Source organism: Homo sapiens, chromosome 6 (assembly GCF_000001405.40).
Source record: "Homo sapiens chromosome 6, GRCh38.p14 Primary Assembly".
In the NCBI taxonomy this organism is placed as follows: Eukaryota; Metazoa; Chordata; class Mammalia; order Primates; family Hominidae; genus Homo; species Homo sapiens.
This window is the reverse complement of record NC_000006.12, coordinates 70,345,369-70,370,387: the sequence shown is the minus strand read 5'-3', so window position 1 is coordinate 70,370,387 and position 25,019 is coordinate 70,345,369. Positions and strand designations below refer to the sequence as shown.

Here is a 25,019-nt window from a genome sequence, read left to right as displayed (position 1 = left end):
AAGGGAACTTAAAGAAGTCATCAAATCTGTCCCTGATATTTGTGGGTCCAGTAGCATTCTGGAGGTAAGAACCTCTTTGTTTTGTTAGGAAACCTCAACTCATGGCTACACAAACTAGCCTGGTGACTGCCATAGCAAACCCTTTGTCCATACCAAGACAATGTTCCTATTTTCACTTTTCTCTCATTTGTGTACATATTAGCTTATTCTTTGGATGTGATTAATCATCATCTCCCCAGTTTTGATAAATTTCCAGTGGAAGTTTCCTGGACATCCACACGGGAAGTAATATTCTAATTTTCTCAGAAAGACCTACACAATTTGCCCTTTTGAGGTCTAGACATCATAGTCTAGTCGCTAGAATGCCAGGGCCAGACCAGCTGGCTAAACTAACTCCAACCCAGAAATCTGTATAAATAAGGACTGTGAAAAAAAAAAGTGAAAAATGTAGGACTATAGAGAAAATGAAATGTTAGCTCTCGTAATGGAAATCTGTGACTTCCATTGAGGCTGTTGTTTGAAAATCTGTAAAGGGAAGAATTTCCCTTAGGAATGAGTATAGAAGGAAAGAAGCAGATGTCCTTGAATTGTTTGTTTGAATATGTTCTTTATTAATGAGATAAAAAGAGGAAATTCAGGAAAGGACTCACAAATGTTAACTGAGAAGTTGTGAAAAAGTCCAGGAGAGACAGCTGTCTTTGAAGCCAAACCAGAGTACAAAGCAGGAAGAGTTGTTAACAGTTCAGAGAAACATGCAGAGGCCAAAAGGGAAAGAACAGAGAAGTCACTGGTTTTGAGTACAAGATTCCTGTCCAAAAGATGGGGCCAACGTAGTCGTTACTGCTTGGCGACAGAAGGGGGCAGCAGAGAGCTGGAAGGGTGGCCCGGTTGAATCAGAAAGTCAATTCAGCAGATCAGAATGCTAGGTTGAAGCTAGGAGAGTCAGAAAGCCTCCCAGTGAGTGTTATAGAAGTGCCAGATGGGCTGATAAAGTGGTTAAGGCCTGCAGAGGAAGCTACCAGCACAGTTTTCTAGCCCTAGAAAGCCTTTCTTTAAAAGACCATTCAAATACTCACTTTAGCATGACTGGGGGATGAATGGCTCAGGTCCTAAGAAAGCAAGCAGACTAGCACTTTTTCCAGAACTTTTATCCATATTCATCTATATTAAGGGTGCAACACCATCAGTGATGTTAATAGTGGCAAATAAACTGCTGCCTTTCTATTGGTTGCTTGTGAATATCATCAGGCTTCCATATAGGCGCCTCTCATCATTCAGTATTATCTCTTTTTGAAAAATTTATTTATTTATTTCAGATGGAGTCTCACTCTGTTGCCCAGGCTCGAGTGCAGTGGTGAGATCTCAGCTCACTGCAACCTCCACCTCCGGTGGAGTGATTCTCCTGCCTAGGCTCCCAAGTAGCTGGGATTATAGGCACCTGCCACCATGCCCAGCTAATTTTTGTATTTTTAGTAGAGATGGGGTTTCACCATGTTGTCCAGGCTGGTCTCACACTCCTGAACTCAAGTGATCTGTCTGCCTCCGCCTTCCAAAGTGCTGAGAATACAGGTGTGAGGCATCATGCCCAGCCCATTCAGTATTATATCTGAATGTCATACTTGACTTTGATTTTGGCATGACTGCTGCTGAACTTCCACCTGCCTCATTTCAGAATAATTTCACAAGCAAGGCTAAATGACTTAAGTACTCCAAAAGGAATCTTTTCATTGGTTCTGGCCAATGCTTTTGTCATACTTGTTCCTGGAAGTGTGATGGACAACAGCATCATTTAGACCAAGATCAAGTCCATGCTGGTGAGCTAAGGTAGGGAAGAGGAGGGCCGTAGTGCTAGGAAAGGAGGGTTTAGCCTCTTTATATTCTGTGAAGTGCAGCACTTCTTAGCTAGATAGATTAACTATTTCATTTTGTCTGCCAGGAATGGGCAGCTGTGGCTTAATCATTGACTGAAGCCAGCGGAAGTTGAAGGCCCTGTAGGTGGTGGTTGGTTCGTTGTTGATGGATCTACTGGATGCTTATTGAGTTCTGCTAGCAGTGGTGCACTTAAACCAGCTTGTACTAACTTCTGAGAACCAATTGTTAGCATCTCCATTATACCACAGTGGTAGCTTGAAATCAGCCACAGAAGCATACTTACACTATAGAAACTGGAAAACCCTACAGATGAGCTCCCTGTTCCATTCCTTCCCTGCATACTGGCTGTTAAACATTTGCCAGCACACCACTGGCTATGCAACAAGTACAATGCTAGACCCCTATTCTGTCATTGGCAGAGATAATAGTATTACCTCATTCTTTTTATGTCTTCTCTTGTTTTTTTCTTATTAGAACATTCAAAGATGTTCAGTATTATAAACTATTGAAGTGAAAAATTACCATTTTCCCACCTGCCCTCCGACCTTATAGTCATTGGATGTTGTGTGTGTATGTGTGTTCCTGAAGGCCCTACTTCTAATATGAGGCCAAACAGTTTGAATCTGGTGTGAGAGCTGGCTGTGTGGCACACAGGCAACTTCAAACAAAGTCGATTAGTGGACAAGAAATCTAGTGTTGACTTTGCCCTTAGTTAATTTGGGTGAGACAAATCTTCACCAAGACATAGTTACTTAGAGGGGCTTTGTCTAGCAAACTCCACTTATTTCTGCTCTAAAATTCTGAATTACATATCTAATTTTCTTTTGGACTGTCAAGTATCTATATACTTAGGGAGAGTATCAGTCATCATCTCTAAATAATTTGCTCCAAGCCTCCATTTATACTAAATCACTTTTTGTTCTCCCAAACATGCTATGTTAAGACTCTGGGCCTTTGCATTGAACGTTCCCTTTTATGGAATGTCCTGCCCTCCCTTCTGTCCATCTGACAAAATCCTACTCCTCTTTGAAGGGTCACCTTATATGTGACCAGCATATTGTAAAGCCTTCCAGGACTCTCTCAGCAGACTTTAGTGTCTCATGTCCCTCTGCTGTTTCTTGGAGTCCTGGCAGCTCTCTCCCACTGAACTGACACCATTGGAGACTGTGTAGAAATGAATCTGGGTCTATGTATGGGCACTCCAGAGAATTCCTACAGGCCCCATCTCTTCTTTATCCTCTTGAATCCATTTGCTCTTTCTAGTTTGGCTGAGCTTTGGATTCTGTTTCTGCTTGATTTTTCACTTCTCTGCTCTTCACTCTCCTTTGGACTTGATGTGTTAGAGGATCTCTGTGGATGTTACTTTTGTTACATTTTGTTCCTGAGCTCTCAGGACCCTTTCTCTCATCCCAGTCTGATACCTTTCTCCAATTTCTGAAATATCAAGCACAGCCATAGACCTAGTTTCCCACCTGCTTGACAGGGGAGTTGTTATAAGAGTTTGGAAATACCTTAGGGAGGAGGCTATTCTTTCATCTATGTGTCCTGAGTGCCTATAATCATGTCTGGAACATAGAAGTGTTCAATGAATGTTTGTTGAATGAATAAATAAATGTATAGGATGAGGAGAACTTACCCACCTAAGGACCTGACTTAGGGGACGAGAGTGAAATGCAAGCTTGATCTCACCTCTTGAATACTGGTCATTGAGCTTAACTTTTGCCCTAAAGATGGATGATTGTCAGCCTTTTGTAGGACCTCAAGAAGGATTTGAAGAAACTAGATATTTTTACCAGCAAAATAATTCACAGCACACAAATGATTGCACAGAATTTCAGTGCTTTCAGAAGTCCTCTGGAAACCTTTTTGTGAACGCCAGGTAAATATCCCCTGTTATACACATTGAGGAGGCATTACAAGTTTTTAAATCTGGGAATGACATGATGAAGATAATGCTTTAAGGAGGTGTTTAGTTTAGACAGGGGCTGGGAACTCTAAAGAGCTAGGAATTCTGGGTGTAAGGTGATGTGGGGCTTGAATAGAGTGTGAGACAGTGTGAGTGAAAGAAGTGGGCAGATATGAGATATTCGAAAGGAAGGAGAGAGGGGCTTGATTATTAACTGTATGAAAACCAATAGATAATTATTCTGTACTCTTGAAATAAGATCCCTGAAGATGCTAAAGTCTGATCTGTTGATAAGATAACTGACACAAAACCCACCACCTGTTTTTAAAGAGTGATATTGTCACATATAAAATAAATTAATATTTCCAAATCTGTTGAGGGATTTATTGGGAACAGTCAGTTTGCATGGCTACATGTCCACTGACTTGGTCACTGTGGGTTTGGGAATTTAGTGGGAGGGAGCAGAAGTAGAAGGAAAGTGTATCTTACAACTTAACAAAAATTTTAAACTGGTAACTTTCCCTTCCTCCCTCTATCCCTCCTTTTCTTATTTTCTTCCCATCTCTTTAATATAAGGCAGAATATATTTTTCTGTAAATTGTTTTTAAAACCTTTTTTTTCAAATGCTATGTATCTTTTTCTTCTATTTGATGCTCAATTCAAACAAAATCTCTTTCTGTAAAACCTATGCATAATGCTGTTGGACTTCTGTTGAGTTCAGGTTGGTAAGCTCTCTCATACCTCAGTAATTCCAAATCTGAATTTATGATATTGCTAGTGTGCATGGAGCATGAATAACTCTGTCTAGTACTGCATTAAAAACATGTAAGATTTAGAAGATATCAGGCTTAGCATAAATTAAGAATAGGTATTACATGTGGCCTGTAGGGATAAAGCCGAATAAATTTAAGTGTGTGAGAGAAGATTAATATAAGCTCAGTCACTTGGAAATTGCTTTGATTACACTTCTGTCAGAAGGTGGCTAAAAATGGTCCCTTTTGCGGCTTATTACATTTTCTGCAACTTTCAATCATTTCCCCCTTCTGTTTTTTGGTTTCTTCTCCCATTTCACTTTCCTTTGCTCTTGTCTCTGAGCAAAGACACCTTCTAAGATGTATCTCTTCATTTGAGTCCTTAATCTCAACCTTTCACTTCTCTTCATGAGAACAGATCTGTCTATTAGCTCCCCTGTTTCTTGCATTGCCTGTTTCTTTCTTTACTGGTTCCTTCTCAACTATTTATAAGCAAGCTCACACAACTTGTTATTCTCTCATACAATCATTCTCTCTTCTTCCTTTCTCTGTTTAGATATCTCCAGTGTAGCCCATTCTTTGCCTCCTGTGCCTCACTTCCAGATCTATTTTTGTCTTAATCACAATAGGCTAGATTATGTCATAATAACAAAAAACTGCTGAGCTCTCAATGGCTTAATGAAACAGAGACATATCTCCCTTTACATTGCAGTCTGTTGCAGGCTGGCCTGGTAGCTCTCCTACACCACTTCCCTTCCAGCGGCAACCCAGGGGCCAGGCTGCATCCAGCTTAACACTGCCATGTTGGAGTTGAGTGCTTTGTGTTTAATCAGCTAGCCTTAGGAGAGAGTCAACATGCAGAAGTCACACTTGATTTTAACTGCTATACCAGAAGGGACACCTCATCTCCCCTACATTCCATTGGTGAGAACATGGAAATTTGATGAACACTACTGGTTTTGGTCTCAGCCACTATTTCCATTTGTTCAATATCATATTTCTGCTCCTATGGATACAACGATAGAGGCAGGAGGCAGAGAAATTCTAGGCAGAAAGGGCGGGTCCCTGGCAAATGCCCCACCCTCCAGCTGAAAAGCCTGAAACCGCAGCCAGAAGTGAGAACTTACATCCCTGTTTTCCCACTTGAATGTTGCCTTTTCCAAAACCACTCATTGCCTGCCCTGCCCTCCATCCTGGGCTTATAAAAAACCTCATACCCAGCTGACAGAGAGAGGAGAAGCAGCTGGACATCAGAGACTATAGCTGGATGTCGGGGAGAAGCGGCTTGATTCCAGAGGGACAGCTTGACCGTGTAACTTGGGAGAAGAATCTGGTTGGAGACTCCTGGACTTCAGGAGAAGATTACCTTCCAGCTCTGTCCCCTTTTCAGCTCCCCTTCCCACTGACAGCCATGCCCATCGGCAATAAAATTTCCCACATTTACAATCCTTCAATTTGTTCATGTGACCTCATTCCTCCTGGACGCCACAGAAGAACTCAGGAACCACGAGTGCAGATACAAAAGGCTGTCACACTGACCCTTTGCCCTCTCTGGCAAAAGGCAGCTGCCTCACACCAAAAGGTAGAGGGTCCACTGAGCTGTTAACACTTAAGCTGTCTGTGGACAGCAGCACTAAAAGAGCACTGTAACACTCCCTCTGGGACTTCAGGGGTCACAGGTACCCTCCCAGATGTTGCTGTTGGGGCCTGCACAGACTTTGCTCCTGCTCACACCCAAAAGTGCTTGCCCTGGCTCCTGCACCTGCTCACCTGCATGCGCCTTCCCACGAGGGGTGGAGCGCAGTGGCTCCAAGTGAGTGGAATTTGCCACTGCCAGCACTGAAGTGGCTGGCTAGTTCCAGTGCCCGGGCACACAATTTCCCACCTTATTCGCTTGCGTGCTCCCTCCTGCGAGGAGTTGAGAACTGCAGGCTGAGGAAACAAGGCACCCCCTTTGTGAGTCCCATGAAGGGGCCAGGGAAATATCCTGCTTCACTACCTCTTTGAAAGAGTGAAATAACACACAGTGGCCTGGGTACCTCCACATCCTTCACGATGCAGCTGACTAGAGGTCTGGAAAGCAAGGATATGAATATAAATTGAATACTGTATAAGATCTAAAATATTAAACCGACCTAGACTTAACTGGATTTTTTTAATATTCGAAGTCACCAGAAAGCTATGGGATCTACCCAAGATGTTGTAAGGGGTCAGGAAAGGGAGATTTGACAAAGTAAGTCCGAAAGCAGTGAAAGGGAAGAAAATAAAACCATTTTATGTTTGTACTTTATTGGGTTCAAGACAATCCAATATGAAACCTGCATTTAGTTTACAGAATAATGAAAAATATAATTAGATATAAATAAAAGCATATATTTTTCATTGTTAGATTTAAGCTGTATGAGGAAACAAAAATTAATAAAGTTATTCTTTTGTCTGTGAATAAGCTTAAACAATGCCTTTATTCAGTTTAGATAACACAAAAGGGAACTTAATCACATTTTAAATCACATTCAAAGATAGAGCTTCTAAAAATAATTGAAGTTTGGTGAATGTCTTTCTGCTAAGAGTGCTGTGAAACTCTCATAATTAGATTAATGTGGTTAATCCCCCTGGAGTATTACAGTGAGTGTGAATCAGCCCTAATAATAAAATACATTACATCTAAACAAACTAAATGCCTTTTAATGTACTCTCAATGACCTCCTGAGTGAAGTTTTCAAATTTTTATAAATTTTCATTCACGCTTTTAACTTCTAGGGGCTTGAGCATGAATTATGATTCAAAGACAGAGTTTGATTAATAATGTACGGCTGTGGACAATTAAAAAGAACTCTTCCTTTACGGAAAAAAACACTTCAGGTATGACGGCAGTATCTCAGATAATGTTCAGAGGGCAGAAACGTGCCTGATACTTCATATCAACTCTCTCCTTTCTTAAGTCATCTCACTACTCTTGGGAAACGACTTGATTTTTAAAGATTGCTGGAGAAAAGGATTTCAACATCCCAGTTTAACCATCCTTCCTGCTACAACTAAAATTGTACATTATTAATTATACTGAACATTCTTCATTATGTATTTCTTAAAGTTAAGTCTATTAAATTCTTATAATCTTTCTTATTTATTATTCGTGTAAATTCTTTTGTTTGCTTTTTTTTTTTTTTTTTTTGAGATAGGGCCTCACTCTGTCACCCAGGCTGGACTGCAGTGGTGTGATCTTGGCTCACTGCAACCTCTGCCTCCCAGGTTCAAGTGATTCTCATGCCTCAGCCTCCCAAGTAGCCAGGATTACAGGTGTGTACCACCATGCTTGGCTAATTTTTTTGTATTTGTAGTAGATACAGGATTTTACCATGTTGACCAGGCTGGTCTCAAACTTCTGGCCTCAAGTGATCCACCTGCCTCAGCCTCCCAATGTGCTGGGATTGCAGGCATGAGCCACCGCGTCCGGCCATTTGTATAAACTCTTTATACATTAATCATTTAAAATCCCTTTTCCCCTCTGGAAGACACAGACTTTATTTATTATGAAATAGCTAATTTTGGGGATCTAAAATAATGTCTGGCTTGGAAAATTATTTATATGATTTTAAATGTAAGAGAACCCTACAAGGATATATATGACACCAACTAATCTTACAGAGCTTAAAGAACTCAGAAAGCTCACTTGGTTAGTGGGAAAGCTAGGAATCAACTGATTTTCAAGCCAGTGCTTTGTGCCTTATATTGTAATTTCTCCATTGTGTGTGCACCTTTTTATTAACCGAGTTGATGGAAAGTATTATAGACAAGTGGCTTAGAGGATAAAGACAAAGTAAAATCCAAATTATTGTTTATAATTATGCACTAATTTGTTTATTTGATTAATATCTGTTTTAACCACTAACTTGTAAGCTGCAAGAAAGCATTAATTACATTTTAAGTTATATCTTGATAACAGGCATACATACAACTGTCCTTTTAAAAATAGACATTTAATTTAGCAACTTATAACTCAGCTTTAAATATTTTCTCTAAGGAGTGTCAATGTATTGGCAATTTCGTAGATTATTTCCAAGGTCTGAATTTTGTGAACTCTTCTTTTCATAAAGTCATCCTTTGAAGTAATTACTGAACTTTATATATATCTAAATGTCATCAAAAGAGCAGCATTTTTAATACTCTCTTGAATTTCTGATACTGTGCTAAAGGATCTTTTAACTGTAATACTTGTTAATTACATCACTTTATTTTTTTTATTTTTTATTTTTGGTGACAACTTTTTTATTTAATTTCCTCATGACCAAACAATAGTGCTTCTTTCATCTGAATTGAAAGACAAGGTTGTCAGAAAATCTGTAAACTGTTTCCATACAAATCCCTAAGTACTGTGATTAGTGCCTCTGTCCAACTTTTTTTTTTCTTTTTCTTTTTTTTTTTTTATTATACTTTAAGTTCTAAGGTACATGTGCACAACGTGCAGGTTTGTTACATATGTATACATGTGTCATGTTGGTGTGCTGCAGCCATTAACTTGTCATTTACATTATGTATATCTCCTAATGCTTTCCCTCCCCGCTCCCCCCATCCCACGACAGGCCCTGGTGTGTGATGTTCCCCTTCCTGTGTCCAAATGCTCTCACTGTTCAATTCCCACCTATGAATGAGAACATGCGGTGTTTGGTTTTTTGTCCTTGCGATAGTTTGCTGAGAATGATGGTTTCCACCTTCATCCAGGTCTCTACAAAGGACATGAACTCATCATTTTTTATGGCTGCATAGTATTCCATGGTGTCTATGTGCCACATTTTCTTAATCCAGTCTATCATTGATGGACATTTGGGTTGGTTCCAAGTCTTTGCTATTGTGAATAGTGCCACAATAAACATACACGTGCATGTGTCTCTATAGCAGCATGATTTATAATCCTTTGGGTGTATATCCAGTAAAGGGATGGCTGGGTCAAATGGTATTCCTAGTTCTAGATCCCTGAAGAATTGCCACACTGTCTTCCACAATGGTTGAACCAGTTTACAGTCCCACCAACAGTGTAAAAGTGTTCCTATTTCTCCACATCCTCTCCAGCACCTGCTGTTTCCTGACTTTTTAATGATCGCCATTCTAACTGGTGTGAGATGGTATCTCACTGTGGTTTTGAGTTGCATTTCTCTGATGGCCAGTGATAATGAGCATTTTTTCATGTGTCTGTTGGCTGCATAAATGTCTTCTTTTGAGAAGTGTCTGTTCATATCCTTCGTCCACTTTTTGAGGGGTTGTTTGTTTTTTTCTTGTAAATTTGTTTGAGTTCTTTGTAGATTCTGGATATTAGCCCTTTGTCAGATGAGTAGGTTGCAAAAATTTTCTCCCATTCTGTAGGTTGCCTGTTCACTCTGATGGCAGTTTCTTTTGCTGTGCAGAAGCTCTTTCATTGAATTAGATCCCATTTGTCAATTTTGGCTTTTGTTGCCATTGTTTTTACTAGAGGTACAAGGAGAAGCTGGTTCTATTCCTTCTGAAACTATTCCAATCAATAGAAACAGAGGGAATCCTCCCTAACTCATTTTATGAGGCCAACATCATCCTGATGCCAAAGCCTGGCAGAGACACAACCAAAAAAGAGAATTTTAGGCCTATATCCCTGATGAACATTGATGCAAAAATCCTCAATAAAATACTGGCAAACCAAATCCAGAAGTACATCAAAAAGCTTATCCACCATGATCAAGTGGGCTTCATCCCTGGGATGCAAGGCTGGTTCAACATACACAAATCAATAAATGTAATCCAGCATATAAACAGAACCAAAGATAAAAATCACATGATTATCTCAATAGATGCAGAAAAGGCCTTTGACAAAATTCAACAGCCCTTCATGCTAAAAATTCTGAACAAATTAGGTATTGATGGGACGTATCTCAAAATAATAAGAGCTATTTATGACAAACCCACAGCCAATATCATACTGAATGGGCAAAAACTGGAAGCATTCCCTTTGAAAACTGGCACAAGACAGGGATGCCCTCTCTCACCACTCTTATTCAACATAGTGTTGGAAGTTCTGGCCAGGGCAATCAGACAAAAGAAAGAAATAAAGGGTATTCAATTAGGAAAAGAGGAAGTCAAATTGTCTCTGTTTGCAGATGACATGACTGTGTATTTAGAAAACCCCATCGTCTCAGCCCAAAATCTCCTTAAGCTGATAATCAACTTCAGCAAAGTCTCAGGATACAAAATCAATGTGCAAAAATCACAAGCATTCTTATACACCAATATCAGACAAACAGAGAGCCAAATGATGAGTGAACTCCCATTCACAATTGCTTCAAAGAGAATAAAATACCTAGGAATCCAACTTACAAGGGATGTGAAGGACCTCTTCAAGGAGAACTACAAACCACTACTCAATGAAATAAAAGAGGACACAATGAATGGAAGAACATTCCATGCTCATGGATAGGAAGAATCAATATCATGAAAATGGCCATACTGACCGAGGTAATTTATAGATTCAGTGCTATCCCCATCAAGCTACCAATGACTTTCTTCACAGAATTGGAAAAAACTACTTTAAAGTTCATATGGAACAAAAAAAGAGCCCACATTGCCAAGACAATCCTAAGCAAAAAGAATAAAGCTGGAGGCATTATGCTACCCGACTTCAAACTATACTACAAGGCTACAGTAACCAAAACAGCATGGTACTGGTACCAAAACAGAGATATAGACCAATGGAACAGAACAGAGCCCTCAGAAATAATACCACACATCTACAGCCATCTGATCTTTGACAAACCTGACAAAAACAAGAAATGGGGAAAGGATTCCCTATTTAATAAATGGTGCTGGGAAAACAGGCTAGCCATATGTAGAAAGCTGAAACTGGATCCCTTCCTTACACCTTATTCAAAAATTAATTCAAGTGGATTAAAGACTTAAATGTTAGACCTAAAACCATAAAAAGCCCAGAAGAAAACCTAGGTAATACCATTCAGGACATAGGCATGGGCAAGGACTTCATGTCTAAAACTCCAAAAGCAATGGCAACAATTGCATCACTTTAAAGTTGACAAGTGAATCAATGAGACACCTTACAAACTGGGAGTGAGTTTGACGAAACAGTCTATTGATGTCTTTCATTGATGGCTCATTCAACCTGCAATTGGTCCCACTCTGAAGTTTAAGAGATAATTGAAGGAAGGTATCACTCCAAATGAATTATGGACTTTTTGTGTTTTTTTTCACTTGGTTTTCTTTATTTTAAATTGTAAAAGAATTCATTAATATAGTCTCAATGTAAAAAGTTAAATAGAACAGCAGCTACAGAACAAAAACTAATTTTTTCCTTAATAATTTTATTAGTAATTATACTTGGCCATAACAAAATACCATAGACTGAATGGCTTAAATAATAGAAATACATTTTTTTCACAATTCTAGGGGCTAAAAGTCTGAGATTAGGGTGCCAGCATAGTCAGGTTCTGTCAAGGGCTCTCTTTCTCCCTTGTAGATGGCCAGCTGCCTTCTCACTGTGTTCTCACATGGTGGACAGAGATGACAAGATCTCTCTTCTCATAAGGACACTAATTGCACCATGAGGGTCCCACAATCATGAACTCATTTAAACCTAATCACCTCCCAAAGGCCATATCTCCAAATAACATCACATTAATGGCTTCAGCATATGAAGTTTTGGGGGACACAATTCTGCCAGTAGCAATAACATTGACAAATATTTACATAGTATATGCTAATTTATAGAGCGCATATTATGCCAAGATCTGTCTTAAGCAATTGTGCATGCACACATACATTTTATAGATGAGGAAACTGAGAGATGTAGAGAAAACACACAGCTGGGAAGTGGCAGAGCCAAAACTTAAATTTAGAAGGTTTGGTAACAAAGTCTATGCCCTTGAGCACTACTCCATAAAGCTTCCCTATAGCCCTCCTCAGAGGTTAACACTGCCAAGTGGCATACATTCTTCTAGGCCTATTTATAGATCTTTATTTTTGCTCTGTTTTTGGTCACTAAATTCATCGGGAGACTAATGTTGTAGCAAGTGGCATATAAAACAGGGTTTGCTGAGTCTTCTGGACTGCTTCTCCACCTAATTGTCTCATTAATGCTACCAAGACTTCAGATTTCAAACAAACAATACTTCATCATGGAAGCCACCCTGAATCTCCAACTGCTTTATTCTAAAAAGGAAGAAAATGAGATCCATAGAGGTTAATTAATTTCCTCCAAAGAGGCATCCTTGCTCTTTCATGTCAGAGTTAGGACTAGAATTCAGGCCTTTTGATTTAGCCAAGAGCTCTTTTTCAGTACGCCATTTTGATCTTCTGGGACACGAACTCACCACTTATGACTCAAGGGAGAAACTCATAAGAGTACTGCTGTCTTGTGATTTGGCCAATCTTGGAGAAGCACATTTTAAATCTTAAATTTGTGAATTGATTATTCTAAAAAGGAGCAGCAAATAATAGAGGGAATGCCAGCTTTCAGCATAAGCACAAAATAAATTTTTGAAATTCCTTCTGTGAAAGACAAAGCCATTTAAAATGATCTTTTGATTATAATTTACATGAAAGTATGGGATTATTATTATTATACTATTAGACAGTGAGGATCAACTCCTTTAAATGATTTTAATCTCTGGATGTGAATATGTATTAGATGCTTATTGCTGCCGTAACAAATTGTCACAAACGCAACAATTTAAAATAACTAAATGTATTTCACTATTATATAGGTCAGAGGTCTGGTAGGCTCAGCTGGCTTTTCTGCTCTGGGTACCACCATTGCACCATTTGCACCATTGCACTCCAACCTCAGTGACAAGAGCAAAACTCCAATGGTACAATCTCAGCTCACTGCAACTTCTGCTTCCCCAGTTCAAGAGATTCTCCTGCCTCAGCCTCCCAATAGCTGGGATTACGGGCACCTGCCACCATGCCCAGTTTTTTTTTTTTTTTTGTATTTTTACTAGAGATGGGGTTTCACCATGTTGGCCAGGCTGGTCTCAAACTCCTGATCTCAGGTGATCCGCCCACCTTGGCCTCCCAAAGTGCTGGTATTACAAGCATGAGCCACCACGCCCGGCCTTATATCCCTATTTTAATGTCCATAACTGTAATCACATTGGCAAAGTCCCTTCCCTTTTACAATCTAAACTAACTGTTTTTCTGGAAATTAGGATATGGAAGTCTTTGGAGAGGGTGGTGGTGGTGGTAATTATTCTGCTTACCACAGTCCACCTTATGGCCCTTAAAGATTCATGTCTATTTCATACACAAAATACATTTATTTCATCCCAAAATCACCAAAGTTCTCATCCCATTACAGCATCAATTTAAGTTCAAAATCTCGTCTAAATTCCATGAGCTCTAAAACCCCAAATCTAATCACCCAAATAATTTAAATTATATGTAGGTAGAATCTGGGTATAATCTTCCCTGAAGCACAGTTCCTCTCAATCTTTGGACCTGTAAAACTAAAAAAAAAAAAAAAAAAAAGTTATCTGCTCCAAACATACAACAGTGGGATAGGCACAGGATAACACTTACAGATATTCACATTCAAAAAGGGAGAAAGATGGGAGAATAAAAGGAATCACTGGTTCTAAGCAATTAAAAAACCCAGCCGGGCAAACTCCATTGGATTTCAAGGCCTGGAGAAAAAAATGTTCTGTGGTTCTTGATTCTTCCCTGTGAGTCACACTTTTTTTGTTTAGGAAAGGCAACACATGTTCGCAACAGGGTAGTTTTATCAGTCTGTGTCTTAGTCCATTCAGATGCTGTAATAAAAAGACCATATCCTGGGTGACTTACAAACAATAGAAATCTATTTCTTATAGTTCTGGAGGCTGGGAAGTCCAAGATCAATACACAGGTTTAGTGTCTGGTGAGGGGCTATTGCTTATGGACGACATCTTTTTGCTGTATCCTCACATGGTGGAAGGGCAAGGCAGGCTCTGAGGTCTCGTTTATATGGACACTAACCCCGTTCATTAAGGCTCTGCCTTCATTACCCAACCCCCTCCACAAAGGTCCCACCTCCTAACACTATTGCCTTGGGGATTAGGATTTTAACATAAATTTTGAAGGGACACATATGTTCAGACCATAGCAGTCTGTTTTCTGCAGGTAGAATTTTTATGGACTGACAGTTTTTGAAAATTTTGTACTCTCTATCTCTTTCAGTCCTAGCTGGCAGAATTTCTGTTGTCTTAATATTCTTAGGAACTTTGTGAGTCTCCCATGTATGTCATGGGATTCACCTTGTACACAGATCTTTCCTAGATAATACCATCTTTATTTATGGCTTCTGTTGAGATGGCCAAGGAGATTGATCTGTCACACTTTTGATCTCTTCAAGTAGTCTTTTGTGTAACTAAATATTACAACCTTTTGAGTTTTCTGAGGTATTACCAAAAGGTTTTACAGACACATCCTGGGCTCTTTTTTTATAACATGACTTCCTGACAGTGAATCTCTTAATTTTAGTCTGTTTCCATTTAAATAGGTGTAGAATTTATAAAATCACCAAGTATTGGTTTCTTTTTAATAGGTCCACCCTCAATTTCTCTCTCTCATCTTTCATTTCACTATAAGCTGCAAGAAAAAACAGGTCATACCTTCACCATGATGCTTGAAAATTTCCTCAGCTAAATGACCAGATTTGTCACTTACAAAGTCTGCCTTCAGCATAACTGCAGAACACAATATATATAAGCTTTCTGCTTCTATATAACAAGGATTCTCCTTCCTTCAGTCTCCAATATTGGGTTCCTCATTTTCTTCTCAGAGATCACCAGAGCATCCTTCAAGTCCACATTTCTACTAATAACCTATTCAAGGTAATCTAGGCTTTTTCTACCATGCTCCTAAACGTTTTTAGTATCACCACCCACCACCTGATTATAAGCTATTTCCACATGGTTAGGTATTTGTTATAGCAGTACCTCATTCCTGGTAACAGAATCAGTATTTGTTTTCTTTTTTCTTTTTTTTTTTTTGACAGAGTCAAAGTCTCTTTTGCCATGTAATAAAACATTCACAGATTCTGGAGATTAGAGCGTGAAAATCTTTGGGGGATCATTATTCTGTCCACCACAGAATCCCACAAATCTCCCAAGACATGGCTAAGAACAGGGAAGGAGGTGGGAACTGAAATAAAAATAGTCCCTAGGAGCCAAAGGAAATTGGGAAGGATTCAGTAGGGTTTATGGTCCTCAGTTTCAGAGTAATTCCATAGGATAGAGGCTGAGAGGACTGAGCAACCTCTCTTAGCAGCCTAACAGTCCAGAAAGGCCTTTCTGGTTTGACTAATGAACACAAGGAAGGTAAGTCTAGGCAGCAAAGAAGCTCAAGTGAAAAAAAAAAAGGCTCTATCTTTAGTCATTATAAATGCATCTGATCAGAAGTTTGACAGTGAGAGTAGGGAGATAGGGCAGCCCCTGCCCTCTAACCCGGCAGCTTGATAGAAGTTGCAGACACCAACATGTAAATCATATTAAGATAGGCTGTGATACCTAAATAGAAGACTTCTGAATCCTGGAAGAGTGTGCAGGAATCTATTTAAGGATGCTGCCATTTCCATCTGCTATAATTTAAATTACTTTGAAGTGTGATATTTAAACTTTTACTAGAAAATTAATCAAAGAATCTCATTCATTTCAGTTTGCTTTTCTGTGGTGTTGGCTCACCAGTACAGAAATGTGATAAGATACCATATTTAGTTTAGCACTTAAGTCAAAGTTACAAGGCTCTCTTAAGTATATATACTGATGTTAGTGTGTTCATCATCATTTTCCTGCCCTGATGGCTTGCTTTCTAAATGGGACTCATTTCAAATCCCTTCCACAGGGAGAAATAAAAGTAATTTAGAATTTAAAACAAGCCAGTATCTAGTAGTTCACACAACATGTTTAAGCAGGAAGCTAAATCTTAAATTAACAAAATTTATTCCAGTTATCAAGAAATTGGCCCTAGGCCATAGTGATAACTGAAAGGTTTCTTTTGTTTTGTTTTTCATTTTGTTTTTGGTGGTGAAATAAAGATTGTGGTCAGGTAATTTTCTGGTTAATTTCTTCCCATTGTCCCCTTTGTAATGCTCTGTGTGTGTGTGTGGGTGTGTGTATGTGCATGTGTGTGTGTGCGTGTGTGTGCGTGAGAGAGAGAGAGAGACAGTTGGCCTCCCTCTTGGCTGGCCTTCCTTCCTTCCTTCCTTCCTTCTTTCCTTCCTTCCTTTCCTCCTTCCCTCCCTCTTTCTATTTTTTTTTTTTTTTTTTTTTGCTCTGTTGCCCAGGCTGGAATGCAGTGGTGCCATCATGACTCACTACAGCCTTGACCTTCTCTAGGCTCAAGCAATCCTCTTGCCTCAGCTCCCTGAATAGCTGGAACTACAGGTGTGTGCCACTATGCCCGGCTAATTTTTAAAAATTTTTTGAGGAAATGGGGTCTCAGGATGGTCTCAAACTCCTGGGCTCAAGCAATTCTCCAGCCTCAGCCTCCCCAAGTGCTGGGATTACAGGTGTGAGCCACGTTGCACCTGGCCAATTTTTCTTATTTATGTTTTTGCTAAAGAGGTAGTCCTTAATATTTTTACGTGCTGGTACTTACTTCTTGGTAACAAGTCTATCCCAGAACGCCATTTAATCTTACATGGGACTGACTTTTCTTTATTATGCCATGGTTATCTGGGACAGTGTAGAACAAATCAGGGAAGTGGGGAGTGTGTCTTTTGGCTTACCAAAACACATACTGTTTAGTTTTCCTATCATTCGTAAGGGGTGGCATACCTACATTTCCTATCATATGCTGCAAATTTCTTCCTGGAGTTCACATTATTGCATTAAATTTCATCAGGAAAACATTAGTGTAGAATCTTTACAGCAGTACTGTTCAATAAAACTTTCTGTGGCAATAGAAGTGCACTGTAATCTGCCACCAACAGTTTGGGCCCAGATTCCATGTTGAAGGCAGAGGTTTCAGAGATTTAAGACTCTTGAGCACTGGTTAGTGTGCTATTGGGAAGTCATAAGTCTCACCTGGGGCCACTTGTCATTTGCTTCTCACCCTGTGGCAGGGTCTCTTTTGTCAGTGTCCCCTAGTCACCTCGAGCCTACAGGCCCACCTTGCCTGGTGGCAGTTGCTGCAGATGACTTGAAAGCACAAGAAGGTAATGATAATTTTTTAAAGTTGTTTGTGGAATGAGGTGAGAGGTGACCTTTCCTTATATAGGTACCCCACCACTGAAACCTCAGTCGGTTCTATTAATCATGAGTGTTCTCTGGGAGTGGACTTTTATTTGGGGGGGAATTGAAAGTTGATAAAAGGCTTGGATTTTTTGTTAAAATTGATGCCTAGTGAATTAAAGACACACTTGTAGATGTGGAAATCATCTGAGTCCTAGGATGGGCTTTGGACTTGCACAGATCAGGGCAATTTTAGCTACAACTCAAGGAATAGGGAAACTTCAGTTACCAGCTGGGTTATACATGTTAGCATACTAAGTGTTTAAATGTCACTATCAAAATCTTTACCATCAGACACTGGCGTTAGCTGAAAGTTCAGATCAACAGAAGAATTATCCCTTGCAGATAATTCTGCACAATGTAATCTGTGCCCTTCTGAAAGACAGCTCCAGACACTGTAATCCAATTTGTGAAGATTTGGGAAAACCAGATAGTGATCATCTTCCTGCTGTCTCTAAATATAATTCCAACCCTCATACCATTTCTCTCCTTCTTTCTTTGACTGCCTTACTCTTACTCTAGTCTGTGCTTGAAAATGACCCAAAGTGAAATTACATTCTCTGCCAGAGGTAAGCTATTAATTAGAACTAACTGCTCATTAAAGGGAGCCTGCTGATGGGGCAGCCATGGCAGAGTAACTACACTTCGCCATGTCTTTGATATCACATTGGCAATTTAGTACAAAATATTCCAGAAAATTTACACTTCAAACCCTGAAGGTTTGTTTTCTTTTCATGATCTGCGAGCAGGCATCTGGGAGCAAGGACCTGCTACTTGCTTGCTTTTAGGCAACTACACTAGTGAAAGCAACTTTAAATATAAAGTAGGTTCTGAGTTTTTAATTTCTCGCTGAAATAAAAACGTTTTGCTTCTTCCTCTGACCTACTTAGACTTTACCAAGCAGACGCTGCTGGAAAAACAAGAACTTTCCTTGTCTGCTGTTAAGATGCCAGAAAAATGATGAAAAGAGCACAGTAAGTCCATTTATAAAATAAAATCGTTTTAAGTCACCACCAACAGCAGTCTAATTCAGACTTTCCAGACTTCATAAATTTCTGTAAATTTGCAGAAACATTTTTGTAACATGTTAACAAATTCCCCAAACTCTTAGATTCTACATGTTTTTCATTTGGAACCACATTTAAGATATAAATAGAAAAGGAGTTAATATGTATGTAGGAGTTACTAGTTTATTTGAATTTCACATTAAGAAATCATTTGAAATGTGTAAAATTGTGGCTATAAATATGTTGTTTTTAGAGCTTGGGTATACCATTGATGGGCTCAGCATATCTTGAAATAATTGGAAACAGGATTTCCTGCAGTGATATATTTGTTCTTTTTTTTTTTTTTTTTTTTTTTTGAGATGGAGTCTTGCTCTGTCGCCAGGCTGGAGTGCAGTGGCACCATCTCGGCTCACTGCAACCTCTGCCTCCTGGGTTCAAGCGATTTTCCTGCCTCAGCCTCCCGAGTAGCTGGGATTACAGGCACGTGCCTCCATGCCCAGCTAATTTTTTGTATTTTTTACTAGAGACGGGGTCTCACCATGTTAGCCAGGGTGATCTCGATCTCCTGACCTCGTGATCTGCCCGCCTCGGCCTCCGAAAGTGCTGGGATTACAGGTGTGAGCCACCGCGCCCGGCAGTGATATATTTGTTCTAACTAACTTTCTTGTGCTACCAGGTACCGAAAATAAGAAGAGAGTAAAACCATAATAAGAAAGACAAGGTAAATACATATTCATATAGATTTATTTTTGTTAAGGCTTCAGCTGAGGAAAAGAAAAGTTGGCAGACTGTGTTAATTAAGATGAATCCCACGTGCTCTATAAATCTTGATGGAATCACTCAAGGTTTGCAATTTTTAAAATTTTACTGTTGAACAAATTTGACTTGACTCAAAATTATTTGCTCACCTATAAATCATTATAACTTCAGTATATTTTCCCAGTATTTCCTGCAAGTTACAAAAATTTGTTTCAACATTGTTTTGATAATAATTTAATAATAGCATTTAACAGGTATTGAGTGCTTCCATGTGATGGGCATATACTAAGCAATTTTACACATTAGTTCATTTAATTCTCATAAAAATCCCATACAATAGTATTATTAGTGGGTGAAATTGGTTTTGTGAGGTTAGGTAACTTGAGCATGTGGCTGGTAAATTGTGTAACTGGTATATAATAATAACAATTGCTAAGATTTATTTAACATATAATTTAACACACTGAATCTTGACATCAACCCAACAACAGGAGAAGAATAACAAAGTAGTGAAATGTGAAACCAGAGTTTGAACCTCAGCAGTTTGAGCCCAACTCTGTGAGTATTCAGCTATTAAATAGCATTGTTCGAAATGGTAGCTACTAGCCACATGCTATAATTTAAATTTAAATTAATTAACATTTTAAAGAAATTTAGCTCTTTAGTTGCTAGCTACATTCAAGTGCTCAATACCCATATGTAGCTAGTAGGTACCATATTGAACAGTACAGATTACAGTGCACTTCTATCATCACAGAAAGTTGTATTGAACAGTACTGCTCTCAATATTCTATACTAATGTTTTTCTGGTGAAATTTTAGTGAAATAATGTGAACTCCAGGAAAAAAATTGGGAAACACTTGAATTTTTTGACAATACTTGAACTAATTATCATTTGGGGTGAACTTATTTTACTGATGGCTCATCTCATTATTTTTATTATGTTTACCATAAATTTCAAGAAAGAAACATTTCTGGTCCCTTTCCTTAGTTTGGGGGATTCTCCTTAGTTTATTTATTATTATTATTCTTTTAAGAAGGAGTTTCGCTCTTGTTGCCCAGGCTGGAGTGCAATGGTGCGATCTTGGCTCATCGCAACCTCTGCCTCCTGGGTTCAAGTGATTCTCCTGCCTCAGCCTCCTGAGTAGCTGGAACTACAGGCATGCGCCACCACGCCTGGCTAATTTTTGTATTTTTAGTAGAGACGGGATTTCACCATCTTGGCCAGGCTGGTCTTGAACTCCTGACCTCGTGATCCACCCGCCTCGGCCTCCCAAAGTGTTGGGATTACAGGTATGAGCCACCGCGCCAGGATGATGATGATGATGATTATTATTATTATTATTATTATTGAGACAGTCTCACTCTGTTGCCCAGGCTGGAGTGCAGCGGTGAGATCTCGGCTCACTGCAACCTCTGCCTCCTGGGTTCAAGTAATTCTTCTGCCTCAGCCTGCCGAGTATCTGAGACTAGAGGCACGTGCCACCATGCCCAGCTAATTTTTGTATTTTTAGTAGAGACAGGGTTTCACTATATTGGCCAGGCTGGTCTCGAACTCCTGACCTCATGATCTTTCTGCCTTGGTCTCCCAAAGTGCTGGGATTACAGGCGTGAGCCACTGCGCCTGGCCTGTCTTTAGTTTATTATTTATGTATTTACTATTTTTTTTTTTTAATTGAAATGGAGTCTCACTTTGTCGCCCAGGCTGGAGTGCAGTCACGTGATCTTGGCTCACTGCAACCTCCGCCTCTTGGGTTCAAGCCATTCTCTGGCCTCAGCCTCCCCAGTAGCTGGGATTACAGGCACCCACCACCACACCCTGCTAATTTTTTGTATTTTTAGTAGAGACGGGGTTTCACCATCTTGTTCAGGCTGGTCTCAAACTCCTGACATCAAGTGATCCATCCGCCTAGGCCTCTCAAAGTGCTGGGATTACACGCGTGAGCCACTGCACCTGGCGGGATTCTCCTTATTTTCAATCTGTGACTTCCTTTGCAAGAACTACGTGACTCCTAATAACTTTCCACTTGGGACTACTGAGTGTTTAAAATATTTTCAAGGAGACAAGAGATATAAAAGAGTATTAAAAACCTACTCTAAAAATTAGAAACTTTTTCTGATACATATATTTACAGGCTTTTCTTCTAAGGAGAATAACACTGTTGAAATGAAGCAGTTCCCCCACCTTGCATTATCACTATTGTGTAGTCATTTGAAATATAATCTTCTGCACTTCCTGGGAGGAAGCTCCAAGGGGGCAAGGCAGGCTGCCATCTTGGCTGTCTCACAGCCCTTGCTGCTCTTGCCTTCAGGCTCTGGAAAGTGCTTGGTGATTAGGGACTAGCACGGACTCTAGCACAGTGCAGCCACCACATGGAAAAGTGGCCGGACTGTTTTCCACATGGGTCCCCAATACCGCTTCTCGTCACTGGTCGGGGCCTCCTGACCTGGGACTCCAGCCACCCCCTACCAGGGCTCTAGGGCTGGTACCAGCTTTGCACTCCCCTGGGACAGAGCTCCCAGAAGGAGAAGATGGCTGCCGTTTTTGCTGTCTCACAGCCCTTGCTGCTTTTGCCCTCAGGTGCTGGAGGGTGCACGGTGATTAGGAACTGGCATGGATCCCCAGTGCAGCACAACTGCTTCACAGAAAAGTGTCTGTGTGTCTGGAGTTGGTTCCTTCCCATGGGTTCATTCGTGGTCTCGCTGACTTCAAGAATGGAGCCGTGGACCTTCGCAGTGAGTGTTATAGCTCTTAAAGATGGCATGGACCCAAAGAGTGAGCAGCAGCAAGATTTATTGTGAAGAGTGAAAGGACAAAGCTTCCACAGCATGGAAGGGGACCTGAGTGGGTGCCGCTGCTGGCTGGGGTGGCCAGCTTGTATTCCCTTATTTGTCCCCGCCCTTGTCCTGCTGATTGGTCCATTTTACAGAGTGCTGATTGGTCTATTTTACAAACCTCTAGCTAGCTACAGAGCGCTGATTGGTGTATTTTACAATCCTAACTACAGAATGCAGATTGGTGCATTTTACAATCCTCTTGTAAGACAGAAAAGTTCTTCAAATCCCCACTTGACCCAGGAAGTCCAGCTGGCTTCACCTCTCATCTGGACTGTTCTTCACTTGGTCCCTGTCCCTGCTTCTCCTCACTGGGCAGGGCCTCCTGACCTGGGACTCCCGCATAACTACTCTGCCCTGCCTGGGCACTTCAGTCAGCAGCAGCTCTGCATTTGTCTAAGGAGGAAATCCTGGAGTCAACCCACAACCCCTCCACCATTGCACCTGTAGTGGTACCACCCTAACCACCCTCAGGCTAAGGAAGGAACAAAGGGCTTAGTTCCTGTGCTAGCACCTCCTGCACTGTGTAGCCCCCATACAGAGTCCTGTCTCTCTTCTCTGTGAACCCCCACCCTCAACTCTTCACCAGGTAGGGCCCCTGGGTCAGGACTGCAGATCAGTCGCCCCAACCACAGCTAAGGATGCCCACTGGGAGTGGCTCTGAGTTTCCCAGAGGAGGGGCTCCCAGAGGGAACCAACACCCCTCTGCCATAGCAATGGTTCTGCCTCTGCTGCCCTCCATCTGGGGAAGAAACAAAGAGCCTGAGGGCTTCACCTGCACTTTCAGCACACCACAGTCACCATCGGAAGAAAAGCCCAGTCTCTCCTCCCTGTGAGCCTTCCACCCCCTCTTCACCAAGTGGAGTGCCCAACTCATGCCAGCAGTGCAGCCAACCCACCCCCTGGCTGAATACTCCCATTGGCAGTGGTTCTGCTTCTCTGAGGTAGAATTCCCAGAGATAACTGAAAGGCCCTTTGCCACTGCCGCTGCTGTGGTACTTCTCTTGCTTCCCTCAGACTAAGGAAGGAGCAGAGACCCTGAGTGCTTCAACCACACCTTTGGTAAGCTGAAGTTGCCCTAAGGAGAAGAGGCCAGTCTGTATCCCTCCAGGACCCACCTGCTCTCCCTGCTCATCACTACCAGGGCCTCCCCTTGCCCTTGGGTCCAAAGTGTGGTGGCCCCATCCTGGGCTGATCACACCGATTGATAGTGGCTCCACATCAGAAAGAGGTGTGAGCCTCTTGTCAAAAGACAAGTGAAAGACACTCTGCCACAGCCACTGCTAAGGTCCCTTCACCTGCTGCCTCCAAGCTTGAGAGGGTACAGAAAGTTTGAACTCACCCCAGAATTGTAATGTGCAGCCCAGGAGTGCCAAGCCGAGATATGCAGCCAGCACTCAAGTGGGAGAGGAGACCACCCATTCACAGCACTGAGAGGGAGCCCAGCTGCAATCCTGAGGAAATACAGAGAAATCATGTGGCTAAGCAAGAGCCTACCTACCAGCCATTACACTTAAGCACCACCTATTGGATGACAGTCCAAAACTTCAACACCAATAACACTTAGCTAATATACCCTCTTGTGAAACCAGTGACAAGAATTCAGCTACAAATAAAGACCCTGCACAAAGACTTGGGCCTCTGAAAACATCCAGAAAAGAAGTCAATTGGCTGTACTCAATATACATTGCAGTTAAAGGAACACCAGTGCACACAGTTGAGAAAGAACCAGTGTAAGAACTCTGGCAACTCAAAAAGCCAGAGTGTCTTCTTTCCTCCAAATGAATGCACTAGTTCTCCAGCAAGCATTCTTAACTAGGCTTGCTGATGGAAATGATGGAAATAGAATTCAGAATATGAATAGGAAGAAAGATCATTGAGATTCAGGAAAAAGTAAAAACCCAATCCAAGAAATGTAAGGATTATAATAAAATGATACAGGAACTGATAGGTGAAATGGCCATTATAAAAAAGAACCAAATTGATCAGATAGAGCTGAAAAACACATGACAAGAATTTCATAATGCAATCACAATTATTAACAGAAGACTAGACCAAGCTGAGAAAAGCATCTCAGTGCTTGAAGACCAGCTCTCTGAAATAACTCAGTCAGACAAAAACAAGAAAAAAGAATAAAAAAGAATGAACAAAACCTTTGAGTAATATGAGATTATGTAAAGAGACCAAACCTGTGACTCATTGGCATCCCTGAAAGAGATGGGGAGAAAGCAAACAACTTGGAAAACATATTTCAGGATATCGTCTAGCTAGGCTATCCCAACCTTGTTAGAGAGGCCAACATTCAAATTCAGGGAATTCAGAAAACTCCTGTGAGCTACTACATGAGAAGACCATCCCCAAGACACATAATCATCAGATTCTCCAAGGTTGAAATGATAGAAAAAATGTTAAAGGCAGCTAGAGAGAAGGGGCAGGTCACCTACCAAAAGAATCTTGTTAAACTAACAGCAGACCTTTCAGCAGAAACCCTACACGCCAGAAGAGATTGGGGGCCTATATTCAGCATTCTTAAATAAAATAATTTTCAATGAAGAATTTGATATCCAACCAAACTAAGCTTCATAAGTGAAGGAGAAGTAAGATTCTTCTCAGACAAGCAAATGCTGAGGGAATTGGTTACCACCAG

General features: G+C 40.6%; 1 long non-coding RNA gene across 3 annotated transcripts in view; it reads left to right on the top strand.

The window, feature by feature from the left end:
- The window catches only part of LOC105377848 (uncharacterized), a 35,578-nt gene extending 11,060 nt beyond the window's left edge, over positions 1-24,518 (top strand). Inside the window, exons 2-5 of one of the 3 annotated variants that reach the window (XR_942673.1) lie at positions 18,662-18,745; positions 19,455-19,499; positions 20,029-20,095; positions 22,119-22,267. This is a non-coding gene — a long non-coding RNA (uncharacterized LOC105377848). Of the gene's footprint in view, positions 1-15,130; positions 15,372-18,661; positions 18,746-19,454; positions 19,500-20,028; positions 20,096-22,118 lie in introns of those variants that run through there. The other 2 variants (XR_942671.2, XR_942670.2) reach the window with 2 other exon arrangements.
- Positions 24,519-25,019: the final 501 nt, after the last annotated feature.